Source organism: Homo sapiens, chromosome 19 (genome assembly GCF_000001405.40).
Source record: "Homo sapiens chromosome 19, GRCh38.p14 Primary Assembly".
Lineage (NCBI taxonomy): Eukaryota > Metazoa > Chordata > Mammalia > Primates > Hominidae > Homo > Homo sapiens.
The window spans coordinates 37,692,769-37,720,338 of NC_000019.10; the positions used below are offsets into that span (position 1 = coordinate 37,692,769).

At 42.1% G+C, this 27,570-nt stretch overlaps 1 protein-coding gene and 1 pseudogene across 6 annotated transcripts, besides 4 other annotated features; both read right to left on the reverse strand.

Moving 5' to 3' along the window:
• SELENOKP1 (selenoprotein K pseudogene 1) lies at nt 263–823 on the reverse strand (annotated as a pseudogene).
• Nucleotides 2,408–3,083: an enhancer, noted in NCBI's record as "OCT4-NANOG-H3K27ac-H3K4me1 hESC enhancer chr19:38186077-38186752 (GRCh37/hg19 assembly coordinates)". NCBI's record gives its function as "activates a minimal SCP1, AML or CMV promoter by ChIP-STARR-seq in naive and primed H9 embryonic stem cells {active_cell/tissue: H9 hESC(naive and primed)}" and the evidence as "EXISTENCE:reporter gene assay evidence [ECO:0000049][PMID:30033119]".
• ZNF607 (zinc finger protein 607) lies at nt 3,595–26,993 on the reverse strand. 6 transcript variants are annotated; one of them, NM_001172677.1, is made up of 5 exons: nt 26,247–26,420; nt 18,842–18,924; nt 16,928–17,054; nt 15,146–15,241; nt 3,595–7,127 (listed from the first exon to the last, which is right to left on the reverse strand). In NM_001172677.1, exons 2-5 carry the CDS (start codon nt 18,848–18,850, stop codon nt 5,272–5,274), a joined length of 2,088 nt encoding a protein of 695 aa, NP_001166148.1. In that variant the 5' UTR covers nt 18,851–18,924; nt 26,247–26,420; the 3' UTR covers nt 3,595–5,271. The 6 variants fall into 6 exon arrangements, with proteins under 6 accessions (NP_001166148.1, XP_006723498.1, XP_047295509.1 ...); XM_006723435.5 differs by having other exon boundaries at nt 15,146–15,244; NM_001375895.1 differs by lacking the exon at nt 26,247–26,420 and adding an exon at nt 26,501–26,993 and having other exon boundaries at nt 3,603–7,127.
• Nucleotides 3,760–4,434: an enhancer, noted in NCBI's record as "H3K4me1 hESC enhancer chr19:38187429-38188103 (GRCh37/hg19 assembly coordinates)". NCBI's record gives its function as "activates a minimal SCP1, AML or CMV promoter by ChIP-STARR-seq in primed H9 embryonic stem cells {active_cell/tissue: H9 hESC(primed)}" and the evidence as "EXISTENCE:reporter gene assay evidence [ECO:0000049][PMID:30033119]".
• Nucleotides 26,495–26,584: a silencer, noted in NCBI's record as "silent region_10557". NCBI's record gives its function as "represses an Ori minimal core promoter by ATAC-STARR-seq in GM12878 lymphoblastoid cells {active_cell/tissue: GM12878}" and the evidence as "EXISTENCE:reporter gene assay evidence [ECO:0000049][PMID:35858748]".
• Nucleotides 26,645–26,754: a silencer, noted in NCBI's record as "silent region_10558". NCBI's record gives its function as "represses an Ori minimal core promoter by ATAC-STARR-seq in GM12878 lymphoblastoid cells {active_cell/tissue: GM12878}" and the evidence as "EXISTENCE:reporter gene assay evidence [ECO:0000049][PMID:35858748]".
• Nucleotides 26,994–27,570: the final 577 nt, after the last annotated feature.

The following is a 27,570-nucleotide window of genomic DNA, read 5'->3' on the forward strand; positions in this document are numbered from 1 at the left end:
GCCGAGGCAGGCGGATTGCCCGAGCTCAGGAGTTCGAGACCAGCCTGGGCAACATGGTGAAACCCCGTCTTTACTAAAATACAAAAAATTAGCTGGGCATGGCGGCGTGCGCCTGTAGTCCCAGCTACTCGGGAGGCTGAGGCAGGAGAATCGCTTGAACCCGGGAGGCGGAGGTTGTGGTGAGCCGAGATCGCACCACTGCACTCGCCGGGGCGACAGAGTGAGACTCTGTCTCAAAACCACAACAACAACAACAACAACAAAAACTATATTAATACTTTAATACCCTAAAGATAATGAGACAAACGTGCATTTGTGGAACTGCATGTCAATCAGGCCAGTTCCCTGCAGAGGGAACTCCCAGCATGACCTCAGTCATCTGTGAGGACACAGAGCAGTCCTTGTTTAGACACACACTTTCATCTACTGCTGCAGCATGGTCAGCACTCCACTTCTTGATGGTTTCCTTCTGCTATGAATATGCATGTCCAGTTGCTTCTTAGAGCAGACACCTTCCTCATCCACCAGCCATTGGAGGAGGACTGGGGCCACCCAGATGATTGATTGGACCCATTCTTCCAGGAGGGTTTCCCGGTGGCCCTCTTCCATCGTCATCGTATCTGAAATCAGATGAGTTTCCATAGCTTCTTCTTTTTTTCAAATCTTGCCGAAGCAGAGTTTTGAAAAACAAAACCACAAACTCAGCTATTCCCCAGAAGAAATCTGTTATCAAAGATAATCTCCATGGAGACTGACTCCAGTTGTCCAACACTTGTGCGTTTGAGATGTAAACCATCTTGCCCCCATTCCCTGCTTCGGAGCCTTATTTATTACTTTTTAAAAACAGGGTCTCCCTATGTTGCCCAGGCTGGCCTTGAACTCCTGGGTTCAAACGATCCTCCCGCCTCTGCCTCCCAAAGTGCTGGGATTACAGGCATTAGCTCCTGGCATTTTAATTTGTTTTCTTTTTGTTGCATGTTTCCTTTTTCTCTCCTTTCTTTATGTTGGATTGATGTATTACTATTCCAATTTTCTCTTTAATAGTTTGTAGGTTCTTTAAGTCATTACTCCAGGAATTTTAATAAGTCCAAATTTATCAATACTCTGACTCTCCTCTCACAGAATGCATTCAATTTCATATGCCCTCTTAAATTTAAAATACAAGATATCAGTTACATATTCGTTTTGTTTAAAAAAACCTCTCTAGGCTGGGCGTGGTGGCTCACGTCTGTAATCTCAGTACTTTGGGAGGCCGAGGTGGGCCGATCACAAGGTCAGGAGATCAAGACAATCCTGGCCAACATGGTGAAACTAAAATACAAAAATTAGCTGGGTGTGGTGGCGCGTGCCTCCACACCCAGCTAATACCAGTAGAATACCAGCTACACAGGAGGCTGAGGCAGGAGAATTGCTTGAACCAGGGAGTCAGAGGTTGTGGTGAGCTGAGATTGTGCCACTGCGTTCCAGCCTGGTGACAGAGCGAGACTCCGTCTCAACAAACAAACAAAAATCTCTCTGATGTTATACTATTATTTTGTCAGTATTCATTTACATTTACTCAGAACATTAACATAAATATAAGTGGTGTTCAAATAAACAGAATGTTTAGGTTTTGTCAAAGAGAAATACAGTGGGGCTGGGCGCAGTGGCTCATGCCTGTAATCCAGTGCTTTGGGAGGTTAAGGCAGCTGGATTGCTTGAGGCCAAAAGTTTAAGAGCAGCCTGGGCAAAATAGTGAGACCCCATGCCTACAAATTTTTTTTTTTTTAATTAGCTGGGCCTGGTGGTCTACACCCATAATCCCAGCTACTCTGGAGGCTGAGGCCAGAGGATCACTTGAGCCCAAGAGCTATGGATGGCATGACTACACTGCAGCCTAGGCCACAGACCTAGACCCTGTCTTAAGAAACAAAAAGGCCAGATGCAGTGGCTAACACCTGTAATCCCAGCACTTTGGGAGGCCAAGGTGGGCAGATCGCCTGAGGTCAGCAGTTCAAGACCAGACTAGCCAACATGGTGAAACCCCGTGTCTACTAAAAATACAAAAATTAGCCAGGCGTGGTGGTGTGCACCTGTAATCCCAGCTACTCAGGAGGCTAAGGCAGGAGAATGGCTTGAACCTGGGAGGCGGAGGTTGCAATGAGCCGAGATTGCACCATTGCACTCCACCCTGGGTGACAAGAGCGAGACTCCGTCTCAAAGAAAAGAAAAGAGTCCAAGCGTGGTGGCGTACGCCTGTAATCACAGCACTTTGGGAGGCCGAGGTGGGTGGATTGCCTGAGGTTATGAGTTCAAGCCTGGCCAACATAGTGAAAGCCCATCTCTACTAAAAATATAAAAATTAGCGGGGTGTGGTGGCACATGCCTGTAATCCCAGCTACTTGGGAGGCTGAGGCAGGAGCATCACTTGAACCCAGGAGGCAGAGGTTGCAGTGAGCCGAGATCATGGCCACTGTACTCCAGCCTGGGCCACAGAGCCAGACTGCATCTCAAAAAAACAAAAACAAAAAAAAAAAAAGAAAAGAAAAAGAAACAAAGTGAGACAATAGTAAAAGGCAGTAAAGACAGATTTTATTCAGTAATAACTACTGCATTAGGGAACAGAATCCAGTGTGAACTGAGCTCCACTTTGGGAAACAAAAATCAGGAGTTGTTGAAAATGTTGGGGTGTACTAAAGAAGACACTGAAAGGTGTTACGGGGGAGTTTGGTCCATATGACTAAGGCATCAGGTTTTTTTTTTTTTTTTTTTTTAACTAATTGGTATTTATCCAGAGTAGAAACAAACTTCTTGTATCTTTACGACTGAGGTAGTTGTGAAAGTTGGAGCAAGACAGCCACCAAAGTTAGGCCCTTACACTCCCACAGCAACTGAGAGGCTGGAGCAAGAGCTGGCTCTCTGAATGTTTGCATTTCAAACTCAGCTGAGGAGACAGCTCTTGGTGGTAGATTTGCATCTCAAAGGGGCAGAGAAATGGTTTATAATTGCAAGCTTTCTAAAGTAACTGCTTTAAGAGGGGGCTTAAGGACCTATCACTATTTACAGGTTTTGGCTGGAACAGTATGTTTTCAGAACAGCATTGAGCTTTCTCAGGCAGGTTTTTTTTTTTTTGAGATGGAGTCTTGCTCTGTCACCCAGGCTGGAGTGCAGTGGTGTGATCTCCGCGCACCGCAATTGCCACCTCCCGGGTTCAAACAATTCTCCTGCCTCAGCCTCCCGAGTAGCTGGGATTACAGGCGCCTGCCACCACGCCCAGTTAATTTTTGCATTTTTAGTAGAGACGGGGTTTCACCATGTTGGCCAGTCTGGTCTTGAACTCCTGACCTCCAGTGATCCACCCACTTTGGCCTCCCAAAGTGTTGGGATTACAGGCGTGAGCCACACTGCCCAGCTTACATCTGAATTTCATTCCAGGATTAAGTGTCTGATTCACCTAAACAGATCGGAATGAAAGCCCTCTTATGGTTTTTACTTATTATCTGTTTACCCAGAATGAATTCAAATTTAAAAAGCATAAAACTTTTTTGAATTCATTAAACTTGAATGGTTAATGGTTTTCATTTCGTCAAAATGCACTAAAAATAACACAAGTAATGATATTATTATATACAGAAGCTAATGTTTATTGAACGTAACAGTATATTTCATGTAGTTTCCCATAATTTTTTCATGTACTAACTCATGTAATTCTTTGTTTTTTAGAGATCTGAAGTGATTTTACCTTTACTTCCTTCACTTTAAGCCAATCATGAAATTTCAGTGATTTCTGGGGTGAGGGCGAAAGGTGGTGTTACGAATCATCGGGGCTGTGGCCCAGTTGCCTCACGGAGGTGCAGGTAGGCTGGGGCCTCACTAGGGCAGCTGGAGGAGCACGGACTGCCCTGCCGGCAGGCAGGTGATGTTCCGAGAGCATGAGAGCTGGTATGCAATGTCTTCTGCAGCTTCCAGCTTGCACAGCTCGCTCTGGCCGTCCCCTGCAGTGGCCAGTGAGTTGGCGATCAGCTCAGCTGCCTTGGAGTCACCCTCAGCAGAGATGATGGCCGCCTTTTCCACCACAAATCTGGCGCTCTCTGCTTCCTGGGGGGCCACCTGTCTGTTAACTCCTTCAAGAAGGTCAGATGTGTCAAAGACACGTCGTCCAGAATGAGCCCAAAGGTGGCTGCTCACTCCATAAGGTTGTTGCTCACCTGGCTGGAGACCAGCTCCCTCTGGGTGATTAGTTCTCCAGCATCAAAGCGAGCCACCAGTGACTTGAGGATCTCCGTGGTAATGAACGGCAGCACACACTCATCGTAGTCCTCTCCAATGCTGGTGAAGATGCGAGGAAGCTGGCTAGTGATGGGCCGGAAGAGGATGCACAGTGTGATGTTGACATTCTGTAAATCTTTGCTACCAGTGATGACTGGCGCACTACGTGGTTGAGAACAGCAGTCAAAGATAATTGGTTTTTGTACACATGGGATGAGAAAGTGAGTCCCTTCCCCTACCACAATGTTCTGTACTCCACGGAATTGGTCAAAGATGGCAGCTCTGTGCCCAGCATCCACATTACATAAGGCAGAGTTCACCATGCCTCCTGCAACAGCTAAGGCCAGGCCAAACTTGCCGATGGACTCAAACACTTTGGCAGCCATGTTTTCTTCTGCGGGACCCTCTCACACCTGCTTCCACTCTGACCTCCACATCTAACTCATGTAATTCTAACAGCACTATACTGTAGGTACTACTATCATCATTTATATATGATCCCCAGAAGGGATAAATATCTTCCCCCATATCATCCCAGCTATAGGAAGCAGATGTTGATCATGAGCATTAAATATGCAGAGTGGCTAAATAGCCTTTCCCATCATCGCTTATATCAACAGAGGTTTCCTGTGTAATGGCTTTTTCCAGGTTTAACAATAAATGATTGTTGCTGGAAGATGTTTACATGCAAGTATAAAGAATGGTTTCCTACGTTTTCTCAGTTTTCCTCTACTGTGAATATTTTGGCAATCCAAAACTAGAGGAATATCAGAAAAGTTTTCTTATGTTATTAAAAAAATACATTATAAATTCTCTGAATCTGAGTTAACACAGGTCATACCAAAGAAACTGCATATATGATTTACATTTTGAAAAGTTCACACCAATACAAATTGATGCCTAATAAAAACTGAACTGTATCTCAAAGCCATTCCACATTGTCTTCATTCAAATTGTTCAGTGGGATAAATCCATTGACACAATGTGCTTTCTTTACTACCTGTATATGCCACAATTTCTCTATCAAATATGAATTCTCTGATGTACTTCAAGGATGGATCTAAGCCTAAAGGACCTTCTGCATTTGTTACATTTAAAGGGTTTCTCACCAGTATGAACTCTATGATGTATACTAAGTTCATGGCTACTATTAAAAGCTTTCCCACACTCTTCACACATATAGGGATTTCCATCAGCATGAACGCTTTCATGTCTAACAAGATATGAGGCACAGTGAAATGCCTTCCCACATCTTTTACATTCATAGGGTTTATCACTGGTATGAATTCTCTCATGAATAATAAGATGTGAAGCATGACTAAAAGTTTCCCCACATTCTTTACATTCATAGGACTTTTCACCAGCATGAGTTCGGTCATGATATATGAGGCTTGTGGCATGACGAAAGGCCTTGCCACATTCCTTACATTCGTAGGGTTTCTCAGCGCTATGAATATTCTGATGGGCTTTAAGTACAGAAATGAACCTAAAAGACTTCCCGCATTTGTTGCATTCAAAGGGTTTCTTACCACTGTGAATACTCAGATGCTGAGTAAGTTGTCCAGATACACTAAAGGCCTTCCCACATTCCTTACATTCATAAGGTTTCTCACCAGTATGAACTCTGCGATGTATAGTGAGTTTATGGCTATAACTAAAACCCTTCCCACACTCTTGACATACATAGGGTTTCTCTCCTGTATGAATTCTCTCATGTATAACAAGATATGAGGCACAACGAAAGGACTTCCCACATTCTTTACATTCAAAGGGTTTGTAACCAGTATGAATTCTGTTATGATGGGCAAGGTGTGCACGCTGACTGAAGGCCTTCCCACATTCCTTACATTTGTAGGGTTTCTCACCGGTATGAATATTTTGATGTATTTTAAGGGATGAATTGAGCCTAAAGGACTTCCCACATTTGTTACATTCATAGGGTTTCTTACCACTATGAATACCCTGATGTCGAGTAAGTCGTCCATGCACACTAAAGGCTTTCCCACATTCCTCACACTTATAAGGTTTCTCAACACTTTCAAATGTATGAGGTGCAGTAAGTTGATGGCCACTACTAAAAGCCTCCCCATTTTCTTTACATTCATAGTGTTTCTCCCCTGAATAAATTCTCTGATGCATGGTAAGTTGATACCTACATGTAAAGCCCTTCCCGCATTCCTTGCATTCATAGGGTTTTTCTCCAGTATGAATTCTTTTATGACCCACAAGGTGGGAAAACTGACGAAAGGCCTTTCCACATTCCTTACATTCATGTGGCTTCTCTCCAGTATGAATACTCTGATGTACTTTAAGGCCTGCTTTGAGCCTAAAGGACTTCCCACATTTGTTACATTCAAAGGGCTTCTCACCAGTGTGAATACTCTGATGTCGACTAAGTCGTCCATACACACTAAAGGCCTTGCCACATTCCTTACATTCGTAGGGTTTCTCACCATAATGAAATCTATGATGTACAGTAAGTTGACGGCTAGTCCTAAAAGCTTCCCCACACTCTTTACATTCATAGGGTTTCTCAACATGAACTTTCCCATGTTGAGCAAGGTTTGCAGGATAACTGAAGACCTTCCCACATTCTTCACATTCATAAGGTTTCTCACGAGCATTAATTTTCTGATGCTTTCTAAGGTCTGTAAGATGGCTAAATGCCTTCCTAAACTTTTCACATTGATCAGGTTCCTCACTAGTATGAATTGTTTGATGTACCATGAGTTCTGTAAGATGACTAAAGGACTTCTGACATTGCTTACACTCATATGGTTTCTGTCCATTATGAATTCTCTGATGGAGAGTAACACATGAGTGTTTCCTATAAAGCTGCATTTTCCCATCGCTGATTATTTCACATCTTGAATCCAAATCTAGAAGACATAAAATAAAAACATTTTATTGGATGAGAAAATGTCAATGTTATTGTAGAATTAAGAGAAATTCTCACCTATTACAGATGCTAACTCGAAAATACAGTTATAAAATATAAAAAATGAAAGGAGAGCTAAAAAAATGAGTTTGTGCAGTGGAATGCAGCCTTACACACACAGGCACACATACACAAAGAGACACACACACACACAGAGCCCTGTTTTGTAGTGTTTGCCAAGATCTCTGGTGTAAATACTCCCACTGAGGGCAATTTCTAGCTGTCAATTTAATGCAGATTTATTAATATATGTGCATAACTGGCTCTAGAATGACAGAACTGACCAGCTGTACCACACCCCCTGTATATAAATTTATATCATATGCTAAGAATACAGGCAAGTATCGATATGGAAATAGAAGAGTAAAATGGAAGAATTCCAGCAGATTGAACATCTGTAGGACCAGAAGTAATAAGAAAATGTCAGGGTAAGATAACTAAATAGAAACTCAGTATCTTATTTAATATATAGAGAAAAGTAGGATACACGGTCATGCATAGAAAGGAATAAACTACAGTTTCGGGAACACCCATATTTCAGGGAAGATTTTCATTGAAGAATGATCAGGTTTACAGCATATGTCGATGTGATATACATGGAAATTATAACATAAAGGGTAAGGAAATCATGACGGAGAAAATGGGTACACATCATAATCATGGGCATTCAGTATCGGCAGGCAGGGAGTTCAGAGTGAATATTTATCTCAATAAAAAGGAAAGAAAATAAGTAAAAGATCACTACCCAACATTTAGGAATTTAAGAGCAAGGTACAGGAAAGCAGGAAAATAAAGATAAAAGCAGAATGTGATGGGTTAGGAAACGGAATAGTGTCAACACCTAAATCAAAGACATGGTGTTTACAAAAATCATCGGGTGAAATATGAGCTAAAGCAACCAAAAAAGAATAAAAAATAAAAATAAGAAACAAGGGAAAATAAGAAAGAGATTTTATTTAAATTATGAGAGTATATATACATATTTTGAAAGTATTAAAAACAGTGAATGATTTTGTAGGAATATTCTTCAAAGATGACCCTAAAAGTGAAAAGTCTAAATAGTCAATTGTCATAGATGAAATACAAAAAGCTGCTAAAAAGACAGTTAATATGAGCACATTTTACCCCCTATCTTGTAATTTCTCAATATCTGAATTTTTAAAATGTGCACATAAGATATTCCAGAGAAACAATTCAGGAAGGGAACAGGTAACATGAACCTGAAAATATAATTAAAAAAAGAAAGGAAGTCTTCAAAGACTTAGAGTTGTGAGTAAACAAAACAATAAAAATAGTAGTGTTGAATATGAATTCTAAATTTCTCTTCAAAGAATTAATCTATCAGTATGTTCAATCTTTGCCTTCTACATTTAAACTTAACTTCCTCTAAAGCAACCTTTTTCGATTACCTACTCCACCCTAAATCATTCTGATCACCTGCTCCACCCTAACTCATTCCAGTTACCTACTACCTGCTCTGCCCTGACTCCCGCCAAAGCGCTCACCCTGTCATTCTCTTTAAATTAGCCAATCAGAATTAGTTTAGCCTGTGCGGTCTAACCCTAGCCAATAGGGGAACGACACAGCAGCAGGGGACACGTGCGTCAGGGATAAGAACCCCTTCCCCTCCCTTGTCCAAATGTGTGCCCACCATTGCTCCATCGGTGAAAGCGCACACTTCTATACAAGTACCTTACCTTGCTGAAAATTTAAAAAAAAGAAAATTTTATATTCGAGTGCTATTTCTTTTGCAGCATCGAAACTTTATTTATAACAGTAGCATACCCAGGTTTGGAGCCAGGCTCAATGGCTAATGCCTGTCATGCTAGCTAATATGATTGCAACATCAGAACATTAAGACAAAGCTTAGAAAAACACACTGGAAATGATGGACAACATAGGAGATATAACCATGGGGGGGAGACAGAAAAGGATGAAAATGCAAATTATACAACTGAAACATATAATCACTAAGAGTCAGTAAACTTGATTGATCAATAGAAATTATTCAACTTGAAATGGAGAGAGAAAAATGGTTTAAAAAATTTTAGCTGGGTGTGATGGCTCATGCCTGTAATCCCAGCACTTTGGGAGGCTGAGGCGGGTGGATCACCTGATGTCAGGAGTTCGAGACCAGCCTGGCCAACATAGTGAAATCCTGTCTCTATTAAAAATACAAAAAATTAGCTGGGCATGGTGGCGGGCACCTGTAATCCCAGCTACTCGGGAGGCTGAGGCAAGGAAATCACTTGAACCTGGGAGGCAGAGGTTGCAGTGAGCAGAGATTGCGCCATTGCACTCCAGCCTGGGCAACAACAGCGAAACTCCATCTCAAAAAAAAAAAAAAAAAAAAAAGAAAGAAGAAAAAATGTGTAAACAGCTGTGGGAATAAATCAAAAGATATGATTGAAATTATAAACTAAAAAACAAAGATTTTGGCAGGAAAAATATCTCAGGAAATAGCAATTGAAAACATCTCAAATTTAGTGAAAGAAATAAATTTGTAGAATTAAGATGCTCATTTAATGCCAAGTAAGATATGTTACATTTACTGATAAAAGCAAATTAGTTTGTTGCCATCAGACTTACTATACAAAAAATGCTAACAAGTTATTTAGGCCCAAAGAAAATACTATCAGAGAAATCTGAATCTTCAGAATATAAGAAAAGCATCACAAAAGATGATGTAAATAAAATAATTTTTTGCTCCTTAAGTTCTTTAATATGACTGTTAAAAGCAAAACTAATAACACTGCCTAGTGAGGTTTACAACATATGAAGATGTGATATACATGGAAATTATAACATGAAGGGTAAAGGTGGATATAAACCTATAAAAATACAAGGTTTATACATTTGTTGAGAAAGAACAATTCTATCTAGCTGGCGAAACGTCATGTATATTGTATACTATAATACCTATAACACTACCTAAAATAAATTACTCAAGGAGATACAACCCAAAAGTCAACAGGTAAATTTATTTATTTATTTTTATTTTTACTTTTTTTTTTTGAGATGGAGTTTCGCTCTTGTTGCCCAGGTTGGAGTGCAATGGTGTGATCTCGGCTCACTGCAACCTCCGCCTCCCAGGTTCAAGCAATTCTCCTGCCTCAGCCTCCCGAGTAGCTGGAATTACAGGAATGCATCACCATGCCTGGCTAATTTTGTATTTTTAGTAGAGACGGGGTTTCTCCATGTTGAGGCTGGTCTCGAACTCCTGACCTCAGGTGATCCGCCCGCCTTGGCCTCCCAGAGTGATGAGATTACAGGCGTGAGCTACCACACCCCACCAACAGGTAAATTTAAATAAATAGCAAAAAAAAAAAAAATTGAAATAATCAAAATTACAAAAGGAATGGACAGAGAAACTAAATAGAGAAAAAAAGTAAAGTAGTAGACCTAAATGTAATCATGTTAATAATTACATAAAATGTTTAGGGTCAAAACACTTTAATTAAAAGGCAAAGATTAACATAGTGAATGACCCATCACCTCACACCCATCAGGATGGCTACTGGTAAAAACAAAAACAAAAACAAAACAGAAAATAACTAATGTTGAAGAGGATGCAGAGAAATTGGAACCCTTATGCACTATGTAATGGCTACAAGGAACATACTTTAAAGACACAAAATATTAAAAGTAAAAAGATGGAATCAATATAACAAACCAAAAAAATGGTGGGCTATATTAATATCAGACAACATAGATTTCAGGACAAAGAAAAACAGGAGGACTCAAGAAGGTGCATGTCGTAACATAAAAGGGATCAGTCTATCAAGAAAACATAAAAATCCCAAACACTTATGCACCTGATAACAGACTCTCAAAGTACATAAAACAACAACTGATTGAAATGCAATGAAAAATACGTAAGTTAAAACATAACTGGAAATTGGCCAGGCGTGGTGGCTCACACCTGTAATCCCAACACTTTGGGAGGCCGAGGTGGGCAGATCATGAGGTCAGGAGATCGAGACTAGCCTGGCCAACATAGTGAAACCCTGTCTCTAATAAAAATACAAAAATTAGCTGGGTGTGGTGGTATGCATCTGTAGTCCCAGCTACTCAGAGGCTGAAGCAGGAGAATCACTTGAACCCCGGAGGCGGAGGTTGCAGTGGGCCAAGACCACGCCATTGCACTCCAGCCTGGGTGACAGAGTAAGACTCCGTCTGAAAAAAAAAACAAAAATAAAGAAAAAAAATATATAACTGGAAATGGAAATATTTTTCTAGAAACAATTCCCAGAACAAGTACACAAAAACACGGTAAAAATATACAAGATTTGCACAGTATTAACCAAGAAACTACATGAGATATTCACAGAACATTCCACCCAACACCAACATATACAATATTCTCAAGCCCATGTGGAATATTTGCCAAGAGGGCCCACACAGTACATAAAACAAATCTCAATTATTATTTAAAACAATTCAAGTCATAAAAAGCATGTTCTCTGATCATAATGGCACTAATTATAAATCACTAACCAACACTGAAACATCCTTAACTGTTTAGAAAACAAACCAACATACTTCTAAATAAACCATAGGTCAAAGAAGAAATCAAGAAGGAAATTAGAAAGCAATCTGAACTGAATCAAAATGGACACACAATGTATCAACTTTTATGGAATACTAACTAATAAAGAATTACCTAGGGGAAATTTACAACACTAACATCTATGTTAGCATAAATAACAACAAAAAAAGACCTCAGTTGGCTGGGTGCAGTGGCTCACGCCTATAATCCCAGCACCGGGCGAGCGGGCGGATCACAAGGTCAGGAGATAGAGACCATCCTGGCTAACACGGTGAAACCTCGTCTCTACTAAAAATACAAAAAATTAGTCGGGCATGGTGGCGGGCGCCTGTAGCTATTCAAGAGGCTGAGGCAGGAGAATGGCGTGAACCCAGGAGGTGGAGCTTGCAGTGAGCCGAGATTGCGCCACTGCACTCCAGCCTGGGCAACAGAGCGAGACTCTGTCTAAAAAACAAACAAACAAACAAACAAAACAAAACAAAACTCAGTCTTCGCCTTAACAGAAAAAGAGGAGCAAATCAAACCCAAAGCAAGAAGAATAAAAATAATAATCATCAGAAAAAATAATAAAATAGAAAACTGAAAATCAATAGAGAAAAAAATCAATGAAACCAAAAGCCGATTATTTGAAAGATCAATGAAATTGATAAACCTCCACCCAAAGGGGAGAAAAGGGAAAGAAGGCATAAATGACCCATTTCAGGAATAAAAAAGGGATTATCACTATAAATCATAAAGTATTATGAACAACCCCATGCCAATCAATTTGACAACTTAGATGAAATGAACAAATTCCTTGAAAGAAGCAGACCACCAAAGCTTGACCAAGAAGTAGATAAAGCAATGAACACTACCATCCAGTAAATAATTTAAGCTGGTCGGGCCCTTCAGAAAACAGTTTGCCAGGGCCGGGCATGGTGGCTCACGCCCCAGCACTTTGGGAGGCTAAGGCAGGCAGATCATCTGAGGTCAGGCGTTTGAAACCAGCCTGGTCAACATGGTGAGACCCTGTCTCTACTAAAAATACAAAAGTTAGCCAGGCATCATGGTGGGCGCTTATAGTCTCAGCCGCTTAGGAGGCTGAGGCAGGAGAATCACTTGAACTTGGGAGGTGGAGGTTGCAGTGAGCTGAAATCGCACCACTGCACTCCAGCCTGGGCAAGAAAGCAAGACTCTCTCTCCAAAAAAAAAAAAAAAAAAAAACTTAGATGCATGTTCAACTTCCAAGAAAAATACAAAGCACCAATTTTTACTTAAGAAGAAATTGAAAATCTGAAAAAGAAAAAAAACTATATTTCTTTCTCTTCCTTTCTCTCTCTCCCCCACCCCTGCTCCCTTCTCTCTCTTTCTCTCTCTTTTGTTCTCATAAAGTGATTAAATCAATAACCCAAACACTTCCTATAAAAACAGGTTGATGCCAGGCATGGTGGCTTACATCTGTAATCCCAGCACTTTGGGGGGCCGAGGTGGGCGGATCACCCGAGGTCAGGAATTTGACACCAGCCTGGCCAACATGGTGAAACCCTGTCTCTACTAAAAATACAAAAATTAGCTGGGCAGCACACCCATAGTTCCAGCTGCTCGAGAGGCGGAGGCAGGAGAATTGCTTGAACCCAGGAGGTGGAGGTTGCAGTGAGCCAAAATGCCGCCACTTTTCTCCAGCCTGGGCAACAGAGCAAGACTCTATCTCGAAAGATGGAAAAGAGAGGAGAAGAGAGGAGAAAGGAGAGGAGAAAGGAGAAGAAAAAGGAGAGGAAAAAGGAAAGGAAAGGAAAGGAGGGGGAAGGGGGAAGGGGGAAGGGAAAAACAAAAGAAAAGAAAGAAGAAAGAAATAGCTGGACATGATGTGTCCTGTAATAGGAACTGAGGTGAATACACCTTCAGTGCAAAGTTTGAGGTTCGTCTGCGTAGGAGTTAGGCCGTGTTCATTGTGTGCTGTAGCTGTGTTTGTGTTGCAGCTTCAATTCTTCCAGTCTTTATTTATGTCTTCTCTTTGGGTTTCCCTAGCAATTCTTTCTTAAATGGAGACTGTCTTGCAGGTCTCTCAGTTGGAATCCACAATTTTTACTCTGTAGCTCTGCTGAGGAGGAGGTAAGGTATTTCAGAGGGGACGCTTTCTGTAATCTTACGATTAGCACTCTCTTCCCCACCGTGGCCAGACGGCTCGCGTTGTAACTTGACAAGAATTTCTTAATTTTTTTTTTTGAGACAGGGTCCCACTCTGTCACCCAGGTTGGAGTGCGGTATTGTGATCTCAGCTCACTGCAACCTCTACTTCCAAGGCTCAAGTGATCCTCCCACCTTAGCCTCCCAAGTAACTGGGATTATAGGCAGTGCCACCACACCTAGCTAATTTTTCATATTTAGGTTGGAGTGTGGTGTTGTGATCTCAGCTCACTGCAACCTCTGCCTCCAAGGCTCAAGTGATCCTCCCACCTTAGCCTCCCAAGTAACTGGGATTATAGGCAGTGCCACCACACCTAGCTAATTTTTCATATTTTTTGTAGAGATGGGGTTTCGCCATGTTGGCCAGGGTGGTCTTGACCTCCTGTCTTCAAGTGATCTGCCCGCCTCGGCCTACCAAAGTGCTGGGATTACAGGTGTGAGCCACTGAGCCCGGCCAAAATTCACTTTTCTTGATATACAGTTCTATGAGATTTGGAAAATGCATATGGTTGTTCATAACCACAATGTGGATATAGAACAGGCCGGGTGAGATGGCTCACACTTGTAATCTTGGCACGTTGGGAGGCTGAGACGGGTGGATCGCTTGAGCCCAGAAGTTCAAGACCAGCCTGGGCAACATAGTGAGACCCTGTCTCTACAAAAATACAAAAATTAGCTGGGTGTGGTGGTGCACACCTGTGGTCCCAGATACTTCAGAGGATAAGACTGTGCCACTGCACTCCTGCTCTGGGTGACAGAGTGAGACCTTATCTCAAAAACAAAAAAAAGGTTGGGCAGGGGGATATAGAACAATTCTGGGCCAGGCACGGTGGTTTACACCTATAATCCCAGCACTTTGGGAGTCTGAGGCAGGAGGAACACTTGAGCCCAGGAGTTTGACAACAGCCCGGGCAATGTAGGGAGACCTCATCTCTAAAGAAAAAAAAATTAGCCAGGTGTGGTGGTATGCACTTGTGGTCCCAGCTACTGTGGTGGATCACCTCAGGTGATCTGCCCGCCTCGGCCTCCCAAAGCGCTGGGATTACAAGCGTGAGCCACAGCGCTGGGCCTTCATTGGCTATTTCATGCTGAGATATCCATTTCTTCTCCACATCAGAAGCCTCCTCGCTGAGAAGGGAAATTTATGACCAATGTTTCAAGGATGCGTTTACCAAATGAGATGACCACTTCCACGAGGGCTATTTGCATACAAAAATGGCTGCCCCTGCCTGACTTGCTCTTACCTGTACACTCTCCTCTTGTTTCTTCCCTCACAATCATCCATGGCTCTTTTCCTTGCTCCAATAAGGTGATTAAATCTGGCTTAGATACGGAATGTCCTGCTTACAAAGAAAAGAAGTGCCACAAAATACGGAAATCAACTTTGAAGGTAAAATTTAAAATTACAATTGCAATAAATGAAAGGTCAAAGTGATACTGAGTAAGATTTTAGAGAAGAGTGAGGGAAATAAAGAAAAAGATCACCCAGGGAGAGTCAATGTTTTTGTTTGCTGGTTTTCAAAAAAAATTTTTTTTTTTTTTTTGCGACGGAGTCTCGCTCTGTCACCCAGGCTGGAGTGCAACGGCGCCATCTCGGCACACCACAACCTCCGCCTCCCAGGTTAAAGTGATTCTCCTGCCTCAGTCTCCTGAGTAGCTGGGATTATAGGCGTGCACCACCATGCCTGGCTAATTTTTGTATTTTTAGTAGAAATGGGGTTTCGCCATGTTGGCCAGGCTGGTCTCGAACTCCTGACCTTGTGATCCGCTCATCTGGGCCTCCCAAAGCACTGGGATTACAGGCATGAGCCACCGTGCCCAGTCTCAAAAGAAATTTAAACTTATATGTCCTCTAACTGTAGAAAGCAAGCATAAAGTGGTTGAAAACACATACTCTAAAGCCTGGGATTGGCTGGGTGCGGTGGCTCATGCCTTGTAACCCCAGCACTTTGGGAGGCCCTGAGGTCAGGAGTTGGAGACCAGCCTGGCCAATATGGTGAAACCCTGTCTCTACTAAAAATATAAAAATTATCTGTAGGTGTGGTGGTAGTGCCTCTAATCCCAGCTACTAAGGAGGGTGAGGCAGGAGAATCACTTTAACCCGGGAGGCGGAGGTTGCAGTGAGCTAAGATCGCACCACAGCACTCCAGCCTGGGTGACAGAAGACTCTGTCTCAAAAAAAAAAAAAAAAAAGCCTGGGATCAATTCCTGACTCTGTCACCTTCCAGCTGTGTGTGACCTTGGGCAAGTTACTTACACTGCTGGTCAGTATTCTCACTTATAAAATTGGGAAAACAATAAAGCTGTTGGGAGTATTAAATTACTTGATATATGAGTAAAGTAATTAGAAAAATGTTGGTGTGGAAATCACAATGCTAGCTGTTCACATTACACTGCTGCAATTATTTTACTAAGACTATACAAGAAGAGATATCTATAGTATATTCATCCCATTTTACATGTGATTTTCATGGATTATAAGCTTCAACCATAAATCAAATGAATTCTGTCTCAGGAAATGGACTACTTTCTTCTCAATTTTAAGTAAGTTTCATTTATCCAGTCCACCACTCTATGCCTATATGAACAGTCTCTTTCAATAATAACGGCAATTCAGCACCCTCTTTCAAAGTAATATCACTGCAAATGGATCAGATAATAAAATGGAGCACTATAGCAATTCTGTGCACAAAATAAATAAGAAACCTGAACGCCCTGACAATGGTTCTACAATGAACACCAGAAAATTCCAAGCTAAACCACTGGTTCAACCCACTTACTGGGTTAAAGAGACAAATAAAAGAGGTATCAGAGGGAGGTGTGAATGTCACTGAAAGATAGAGAAGATGAAAGTGTTGAAAGGACCTGCCATTACTGACTCAAAGCTGAAACCACCTCAATAGAAATAGAGAAAATAAATTTAGTTTCTTAAAAGGCAGCCCTGAAAACCACAACAGAAAAAGAATGTATCCTACGAAACAGATGATTCTAAATTATTCTAAATCATTCCAGGTTGATAAACATACCCAATGAGACTAAGTTGTCATAGTTCTCCATCATCACCTCCTGGTACAAGGTCTTCTGAACCAGGCTGAGATATTCCCACTCCTGATGAGAGAAGTCTATGGCCACATCCCCGAATGTTATTGATCCCTGAAACAGCAAACCCATGTATTACTGGGGAAATTCCAAAATGGAGTGGAGGGGCCGGGCACTGTGGCTCACGCCTGTAATCCCAGCACTTTGGGAGGCCGAGGCGGGCAGATCATGAGGTCAAGAGATGAAGACCATCATGGTCAACATGGTGAAACCCCGTCTCTACTAAAATACAAAAAATTAGCTGGGTGTGGTGGCGCATGCCTGCACTCCCAGCTACTCGGGAGGCTGAGATAGGGGAATCACTTAAACTTGGGAGGCGCAGGTTGCAGTGAGCCGAGATTGCGCCACTGCACTCCAGCCTGGGCAATAGAGCGAGACTCCGTCTCAAAAAAATTAAAAGAAAATGGAGTGGATGGCCGGGCGCGGTGGCTCACGCCTGTAATTCCAGAACTTTGGGAGGCCAAGGCGGGCAGATTACCTGAGGTCGGGAGTTCAAGACCAGCCTGACCAAGATGGAGAAACCCTGTCTCTACTAAAAAAACCACAAAATTAGCTGGCGTGGTGGCACATGCCTGTAATCCCAGCTACTCAGGAGGCTGAGGCAGGAGAATCCCTTGAGCCTAGAAGGCAGAGGTTGCAGTGACCTGAGAATGCTCCATTGCACTCCAGCCTGGGCAACAAGAGCGAAACTCCATCTCAAAAAAAAAAAAAAAGAAAAGAAAAACGAAAATGGAGTGGAGGAGATGAAGGAGTGCATTGCAGCAGAAGAGCAATATAACCAGCATACAGACCAGAAATCTATGCTATCAGGGAGGGGAATGAAGCAGAATTTATACATATTTTTGAAGAAGCTTGAAACACAAATAAAACTTTCTGCCTGTTCTGGGACACTTCTTAGGTATCTGACCTTTTTGAAAATGACAAAATAATAATGTTTTTCTATTAAACTAAATCATTATTATGCACATAATGCCCTGGTGGTATCTGCCTCATAACTTCTCAATCAATGTGTGTTAACTGAGGAATATTTTGACTTGGAAGAGAATTTAAACTTTTAATCAAGAGATGTTTTATGCAAAATATGGTACAGATTCTCAATTTTAGAAAACTAGGTTTCCTGTGACCTCGTGGTGCAACAATAGCGCATCTGACTCACGCATCTGACTCCAGAAAACTAGGTTTCCTTAAAATTAATAATTTCTTCAAGCATCAAGTACTTCATTACATTAAATCTTACCATGAGCATTTTTGTTTGTTTTGACAAAGGATTTTATCATGACATTATTATTTTATGGTATTTGTTTTTCAGGACTTTCTATCCAAATCCACGATTTCTGTGTTTACAAGTTCCAATCCAATAGACTAATTCACACAAAACATGAGATTTTACCCTACCTGAAGATTTAGATCCTTCAATGCCAATTTCCACCTTATCTAGCTGAAAAATTCAGATGTCTGGAAAATTTCAAAGACTTCCCATGGATGGTCAAATGGAACTGTTGTCTCAATCGCAACAAATGACAAAACCAACCTGAAATGCGTATTATCTGTACTCAAAGAACTTGACTCCTTTCCTCTGTATCACTGCCCAAAATAGAAGAATGGGCACCTAGAGGACATTAATTTGGTCAATAACAACATGAATGCTAGTGAATTTGCAGTGGCCCACCTAGCGAGGATGCTGGGTGATGTGGTACATATTTTACTGGAAGAATGAGAACTGGAGATTAGGTTAACTGAGCACCGTCTCACGAAGGTAACTTCAGGAAAAATGATGAGAAGACATACATGACCTAAAAAATCACACACAAACCTCCACATGGCGAGAAATATCAACTTACATAGGACATGGTTTGAGACTGGCAAGAGTTGATCAGTCCTTGGCGTTTCTCTACCAGAAGAGCAAAGTCAAAAGAACCAAGACCTGAAAGAAGAGAAGACCTTGAGACCAGCTGTGCTTTAGTGGTCCCCATAGGACTCAAGGTAATAGTACTGTTTTCCTCTTCCATTCCAAGTTACAAACTACCTCCTCTCACATACAATTTGGGAAGATTAAGATTCTGGATAAACCCATTTCCTCCCCCACTACCCAAGGGCCTCACCTACACAGAGTCATACATTAGAAACATACTGTCATGGAAACCAGACCCAGATAATTCAGTAGGAAATTTTCTGGCCAATGTACGATGTTGGTGAGGCAGATGGGGACCTCAGATTAGGCAGCCCTGTCCTGCTTTGAGCAGAACTACCTCTTTCCATTCCCTCCTTTAAGGGTAAAAACAGGGAACATCATCCATACCAGAACCTCTTTTTAGTCTTGAAACTGGGGAAATTGGTCAAGATATTGGAGACAGATGGCGAGTGTTCAGCATTCTAAGTCTAGCAAAGCTTCCTAGTTAAATATATAACAGACTATCACTGTCCTAGAATACAAACTAGTCATTAAATGTGAAATTGAGAAAAATTCAAGGACATGAAAAATATCAGAAACAATGTCAACATAAAGATCAGACTGACCAATACATTTATTTTTGTAAAATATATAAATACATATCCATCAATACAGAGAGAAAGGCTGGCAGACAGATAATCATAAAATAGGCAAGGTGGCATGCACCTGTAGTCCCAGCTACCCAGGAGGCTGAGGCGAGAGGATCACTTGAGCCCAGGAGTTCAAGGTTGCAGTGAGCCATGATTGTGCTACTGAACTCCAGCCTGGGTGACAGAGCAAGACTCTGTCTCCAAGAAACAAAAAAGTGCTTATAGTCATAGTGCTTATATCTCACTATGTATTCCATTTTGGCTGAATACATGAAACAACTAAATAAAACTAAAGGAAAAGTAAATAAACCTTTGCTTAGCAACTTCCCATAATCAGAGTTTGATAAATAGCATTCCCTATACTTTTGTGTGGCTCTTGATTTTTTCATTATTAATACTTCCTTCACGATTATTGTAAGCACGGACATATTAACTTGAAACATGTATGTGTTTCCAATTTGTTAAGGTGGGAATTTCAACAAAATTATTTTTTCTCTAAATTTAAAATCATCTTACTGAATGGCTTATCTTCTGTGGGTTCCTTTGGGTCCCCAAACCTAAACTCACTTCATCACCGGTTCTCAGATATGTTAGAATTGTGTCTCCAACAACATGGGGAACTGTCCCTGAGAAATCTCCTCTGTGAATGGATGATGGTCTCAATACAGCTTTATTTCAGGTCTTCTTAACAGAAGGGTTTATTTCGTTCCTAAATCTGGCAGGTAGGTCAGGATATCCTCTAGATAGCTGCTGAATTTCCTCATGCAATTAATTTTGCTTTCTATCTAGTATCATTACAGTGAAAACTACAAGGTTTAAAAGATGTAGTATAAAACCTGTTTATCACCATACATAGCCCATAGACTCAGTGTAATTTGTTCATAGCCTGACTATTGCTATACTCAGACTGATGTCTCTGTTACGTGACATCACCAAGTAGTTCACCTAAATCTCTCCAAACAGACTCTATCACACACTGCCTTAAACTTCCTCCTATTCAGATTTGACTTTCCTTCATAGACTGTAAAAGTATTTCAGAGGAAGCAACTCATCTTTTCAGTGATTGTCCCATTTCAAATACTGCAATTTTCAGGTGTGGCGTAGTAGAAGCACTTAATAAAAGTCTGATTTTTTTTTTTTTTTTGAGGCAAAGTTTTACTCTTTTGCCCAGGCTGGAGTGCAGTGGCATGATCTTGGCTCACTGCAAACTCCGCCTTCTGGTTTCAAGTGGTTCTCCTGCCTCAGCCTCCCAAGTAGCTAGCTGGGATTACAGGCACCTGCCACCATACCCACCTAATTTTTGTATTTTTAGTAGAGATGGGGTTATCACCATGTTGGCCAGGCTGGTCTCAAACTCTTGACCTCGTGATCTGCCAGCCTCAGCCTCCCACAGTGCTGGGATTACAGGTGTGAGCCACCACGCCCGGCCCAAAAGTCTTTTTTACCACAAAATTCACAGGTACACTTGTAAGAATTTTTAAAAAGGAAATAACGATAGAAGTACACAACCAATACGTACAATACATTCATCAAAGATAATTTTTGATTATCGAAATTAAAAACACAAATATTAAAAGCACAATAGGGAGTAGGTTAAACATATTATTCTCCGGACTATGGTAACATCCTATGCCATGATTACTAAGATTGATCTTAAATCATATAATCAAAGGAAAATAGTACCAAGGATGAGTTAGTAAATAAGACAGGTTTAAAAACGTATGCACCCAGTCGGGCGCAGTGGCTCATGCCTGTAATCCCAGCACTTTGGGAGGCCGAGGTGGGCGGATCACGAGGTCAGGAGATCCAGACCATCCTGGCTAACACAGTGAAACCCCGTCTCTACTAAAAATACAAAAAAAATTAGCCAGGCGTGGTGGCGGGCGCCTGTAGTCCCAGCCACTTGGGAGGCTGAGGCAGGAGAATGGCGTGAACCCAGGAGGCGGAGCTTGCAGTGAGCCAAGATCGCGCCACTGCACTCCAGAGCAAGACTCCGTCTCAAAACAACAACAACAACAACAACAACAACAACAGCAGCAGCAGCAGCAGCAGCAGCAACAACAAACATACTCACCCTGTCTCCAGTAAAAATAATTTTAAAAAAAATTAGCTGGGCATGGTGGCGGGTGCCTGTAATCCCAGCTACTTGGGAGGCTGAGGCACCAGATTCGCTTGAACCAGGAGACCGAGGTTGCAGTGAGCCAAGATCATGCCACTGCACTCCAGCCTGGATGGCAGAGTGAGACCCCATCTCAAAAAAAAAAAAAAAAAAAAAGTATGCAAAAATTAGTTACGTGGTATCCTGCTGAAATTAAGAAGACAGGCTGTCTTCTCACTCTCAAAAGTGATACTGAGTTTTGCCTTATGAGAGATGCTAACATATGAATGCCTGTTTCCCCATCAGCAAATAAGGGATAGGAATATATCCTACTTAACGAGACAGTTCTGAAGATTAATCAAGATGATCTATAGAAACACGAAAAAAGTAAAATATGATAGCTACTGTAATAACATTATCATCAAATGTTAAAAAATACCACATGCTCATTAATCCGTTATTATAAAAGGAACTTAATTCTGTTGCTTCCTGTTTTTCTTTCTTTCTTTCTTTTTTTGAAATGGAGTCGCGTTCTGTCGCCCAGGCTGGAGTGCAGTGGCACAATCTTGGCTCACTGCAACCTCCACCTCCCAGGTTCAAGCTATTCTCCTGCCTCAGCTCTCCGAGTAGCTGGAACTACAGGCGTGTGCCACCATGCCCGGCTAATTTTTTGTACTTTTAGAAGAGATGGGCTTTCACTATGTTGACCAGGCTGGTCTAGAACTCCTGACTTAGTGATCTGCCCACCTCAGCCTCCCAAAGTGCTGGGATTACAGGCATGAGCCACTGCACCCAGCCACTTTCTGTTTCTTAAAGTTTGTGCTTCATGGGCTTTCTCCTACTCATAATTCCGAATTTACAAATTTCATGGCCCACCTTTAAGAAAATACAAGTCTTCTTTAAAAAAAAAAATTAGGTTTTTTTTGGCTGGGTGTGGTGGCTCACGCCTGTAATCCCAGCACTACAGGAGGCTGAGGCGGGCGGATCATCTGAGTTCAAGACCAGCCTGACCAACATGGTAAAACCCCATCTCTACTAAAAATACAAAATTAGCTGGGCATGGTGATGCATGCCTGTAATCCCAGCTACTCAGGAGGCTGAGGCATGAGAATTGCTGAACCCAGGAGGTGGAGGTTGCAGTGAGCTGAGATCATGCCATTGCACTCCAGCCTGGGCCACAGAATGAAACTCCATCTAAAAAAAAAAAAAAAGATGATCAGATAAGTAAGGAGAAAATGCCCCTTTCCTTACTCCCCAGCAGGTACAGAAAACAAGGAAGATACCACTCAGCCTCACATACATTCAAAGAACTGGATCTAATAAAGTGCTAGGTCAAGAATATTAAGGAGAGTGAATCTTATTTTCCTGCCAAATACAAACATTTATGTGAGTATTTGTAAATATCACAATACCTATTTGTTATTATTACTGAACTATCTTTGGAAATATTACCATACTTGCAAGACATCTGGAAATCATAGATTACCATGCTTTTCTCTGCAGTAACTTTGCATTTCTAAACTACTAATTCTGAGAGGATGTCTTCATCATTTGTGCCCTGTTAAGTTTTAAATCGCATTTTTAATACCTAAAAGGTATAAAAACTTGGATTGTTTTTCACCTCTGAAGGAGGTCCCTGGTAGCTCCCTCTCCTCTTAAAATGCAGAGATATATGAAAGCCCATGTCAAAAGACCTAGTTGCAACACATTGACTTACAGATCTAATGGGCTTTGTGATTCATGAAAGGGGTAGCCTCCATTGTACAAAATAGCGTAAGAGCTCCTACTGAGCAATGGAGAAACAGTGGATTTTGTAAGGTGGAAACAAATAAGAGAACTATAGAAAAAAAAATTGATTGGTGACTATCAGGCTACTTCAGTTTACTTTTTTCTGGAAGGTTAAGCGGAGGTCATTTCCTTATTATGCTGACTCAGGTAGACTGGAGTCTCCTGTTTTCAGGAAAAACTGATCTGTTTGGAACTCTACCTGCTCCCTTAAAGTTTCAGTTTTGTAATGTGGCTTTTAGCATGAGTGACTTCATTTTGGTTTAGTCTGGTCTGTTGGAGCCTAGTGCAGAAGCTCAGTCCAAAGTAATGGTGTCTCATCATACTGGTTTTATATCCATGGTTGGGTTAGATTCCTTTTTCTAACTAAAAGTAGGAGTCTGTCTATTTCATTAATTCTCTTCTGTAAAGACAAAACCACACACAAGTGCTCACACATGAAAACTGAAAACATATACACCCAAATTTGTAAAGTGATTCTCTCTGGGCAGGGAGGTTTGGGTTATTCTAAATTTCTTCTTTGAAACTATCTTAGGGAGTGAAATTTTTGTGACGAAACTGCCTTAATTCCATCATCATAAATATAACTTCAAGATATTTCAAAGTAGTAATAAACTATTTCTAAAAGTATCCTTATGGGGAGAGGGTACATGTGTCATTAAAAGAAATCTAAATATTAGGCCTAGAATGAAAAATCAGCGTGACTAAAACATGTAACTCTTTGTCTTCTTGAACAGCCTTTAGCTGTGTTTCTTCTACATAACTAGAAACAATTCACTATAAAGATTCTTTCCTTAGTGGACAGGGAAATGGCTTCTGCACATCTAATGGGAACAGGTACACAAAATAGGTCCAATAATTTGGGGCACACATTATATGCTCAGTAAATGTAGCCACAACCCTTTCATTCCTCTCTGAAAAACCAATTAAATAATCATTTTGGATACAATCCTTGCAAAAGTTTTTGCAAAATTCCCTTTGTTTAATTTTAATTTTAAATTTTATTTTTTTGAGACGGAGTCTCGCGCTGTCGCCCAGGCTGGCGTGCAGTGGCTCGATCTCGGCTCACTGCAAGGTCCGCCTCCCAGGTTCACACCATTCTCCTGCCTCAGTCTCCCGACTAGCTGGGACTACAGGCGCCCACCACCACGCCCGGCTAATTTTTTGTATTTTTAGTAGAGACGGGGTTTCACCATGTTAGCCAGGATGGTCTCAATCTCCTGACCTCATGATCTGCCCGCCTCGGCCTCCCAAAGTGCTGGGATTACAGGCGGAAGCCACTGTGCCAGGCCCAAAATTCCATTTTTAAAAAATGAGCTGCGGCTGGGCGTGGTGGCTCACGCCTGTAATCCCAACACTTTGGGAGGCCAAGGTGGGTGGATCACCTGAGGTTGGGAGTTCAAGACCAGCCTGACCCACATGGAGAAACCCCGTCTCTACTAAAAATACAAAAAAAAAAAAAAAATAGCCAGGCATGGTGGCCCATGCTTGTAATCTCAGCTACTCAGGTGGCTGAGGCAGGAGAATCGCTTGAACCCGGGAGGCGGAGGTTGCAGTGAGCAGAGATCGCACCATTGCACTCCAGCCTGGGCAACAAGAGCGGAACTCAGTCTCAAAAAAAAAAAAAAAAAAAAAAAAGAAAGAAAAAGAGTTGCATATATAGTTTGAGAACTGTGATCCACCACTGTAACTCTAAATAGTGTTAAACATTAGATCACAGCTATTTATCCTGTGACAGATTCTTTACAAACATAAATCTTATTATTTGTATAATATCCAATCCCTTGGACGCTGTATAATTTTCTTAACCATTCCCATAATCTCGTTCATTAGTTTTCTGCAAAACCATTCAAAGGTATAAAACTCTTTGATTCCAGATCTAAAACCTGAGTCTAAATAATTTGGATTATGGACATCCTAGAAAAATGCAAATTAACAAACATGTACAGGAATTCTTTATAGAATTTCAGGGGGTTTGTGATGTCCCTTATGCCCATAAGGGCATTGGTCTACAGACAGTACACCAATGACCGAGAATTCCTATTTTGGAAAACTTAAATTCTGGCTCACTTCCTTCACATCACGGCTAAGTTCATATTCTTGTTGCTTTTGATCTACAGAAATCCAAAACGGAATATCCAAAATTGCCTCATAATACTTAGCGCTTATGTTTCCCCCCTCCAAGGCTGCAGGCGCGTAATTTCATACACACGACCAGAAGGAAGTATGTTGGATGGAACCTGCAATCATCCTTCACTGCAGGTTCTTGGGGTCAGAATTCAAGGCCGTGTTTGTTAAACATGTAAATGAAACTCCAAGAACCGGGAGGTGGGGGCGGAGTAACAACCCTTTTCAGGAGGGAATCCTACACTCGAAACTGACAAACCCTGCCAGACCAAATTTTAGTCAGGCTACTACACCTTCAGCTAGGCCCATCTGTACACTTCACTGTAAAATCTGGCTATAGCAAAGAACTATTCTAAGTCAGTTTAGCAAGACCCTTTCGCCTCCGTATCTTCATCCTCCACCGTCCCCCAGGTCTCTCTCTCCAGAAATAATCCTGTTAGGTGCGTTTAGTCAGAATCTTCCTTAACCCAGACATTTCCTCTTAGTAATTTCTCATCCAGTGATCCCTAACCTTCTTGGCTATAAATTCCCACTTGTTCATGCTGAATTCGGAGTTGAGCCCAATGTCTGTTACCCACTGCAAAATCTCACAGCCGGGATCCCAATACCTACCACCATGGTCCTGAATAAAGGGTTCTTTGCATGCTTTAACAAGTGTCACTGAATACTTTTTTATTTAACAGAATCTATCATACCTTTCTTAAGGGCAATTACTCTTCTAAGCTTCTCATCCTATCTGTTTCTTCTCACTGGAAATCTTCATCTAAGACTCAGTATCTGATTTCCCATTGGGACCATTTCTCTGTTGTAGTCGTACTAGGCTGAGGAAGGCACAGGAAGCAGCAGGGAACCTGGAGCCAAGGGTCAATAGACCCCACAGAGCCCAGCGAAGCACGCTTTACAAAGGACACACACGGCATGTACAGGTCACACAAGGTCGACTACGCACCCCTCACAGTCCCGCAACTGCACCCACGTCACACAGGCAAGCCGGTCCTGTCGCCGCTGCGCGGTCTCTCACGCTCCCCGCCTGTCTCCTAGAGACGGGCCCCTCCTCCGCAGCTCCAGCACCCTAGGGCCTGAGGAGGCGGGAGACTCGCCCGGCCCGCCTGGGGGCCTCCGCGCTCTGAGCGCCTCCTGCAGCCCCACTCTCACCGCCACGCAGGGTACCACGCGGGCGGCGGGCTGGGGCTGCAGAGGCTCCCGCAGTGACCTGCGCCGCCTTCTTCAGGTGGAACCAAAAGGTCCCGGAACCGGAGCCAGGGGTCCAAGTTTTCTCCGTTGCCTTTGTAATATGTAGTCCAAGCCAGAACAGTCAGGACCGCAGGTACCGGTGAGAAATGGAGTCCAGAATCCTAAAAACCTACGAGAAATACGGCAGCGACCACTTGGACCGCGCCTCCCACCCACCGCTCGAGCCCCGGAGACTTCTGGGAGTGGCCGCCTTGCCTCGAGTGCGCATGCGCAGATCGGCCACTACTGGGCCCCTGGCCTGAGGCTTAGGGTGGAGTTAGTGCGTTCTTAGGGCCAGTAGGAGGCGAGTCTGAGTAGAAACTGATCCAGGTAGCCTCGGAAGGGATCACCTGCTGGATGGGTGTGAGCTCCTCAGGGTGGGGCGCCGAAACCCTCATGGCTCCTGAGGTAGAGCCGGCCTCCTTGGTAACACATGGGACTGGGACTTTTAATACCACCCGACAGGCCCAGCTTGTCTCGTCAAGCGCTAAGTAAATGGACTCACGTCCTATATGAGGGTTTGAAGTTCCATCACATTCTTCAATACATGACATTATGTTCTTCATCTTTGGACACGAATATATTTGACTAAAAATTTGACTAAAAAATCATCTGAAGAAATAACTGCTAAATAGTTTTATTATTTTTGTTCTGGAATAGGCTTCTTGAAGATAAAATAAGAAATTTAAAAAATTTTTTTGATCCTTCATGTAATACTTTGTAAATCTTCATAGTTATTTAGAAGCATCCAAAATTTCCAAATGGTAAAAAACGAATAAGAAAAAT

What these genes read in the sequence shown, in the direction of transcription:
- ZNF607 (XM_006723435.5), bottom strand. An exon ending in TGACAACTTAGTCTCATTGG is followed by an intron (nt 15,245 to 16,927) that starts GTATGTTTATCA and finishes TTTCTTTGTAAG; the next exon opens with CAGGACATTCCGTATCTAAG. An exon ending in AACAAGAGGAGAGTGTACAG is followed by an intron (nt 7,128 to 15,145) that starts GTAAGAGCAAGT and finishes TATGTCTTCTAG; the next exon opens with ATTTGGATTCAAGATGTGAA.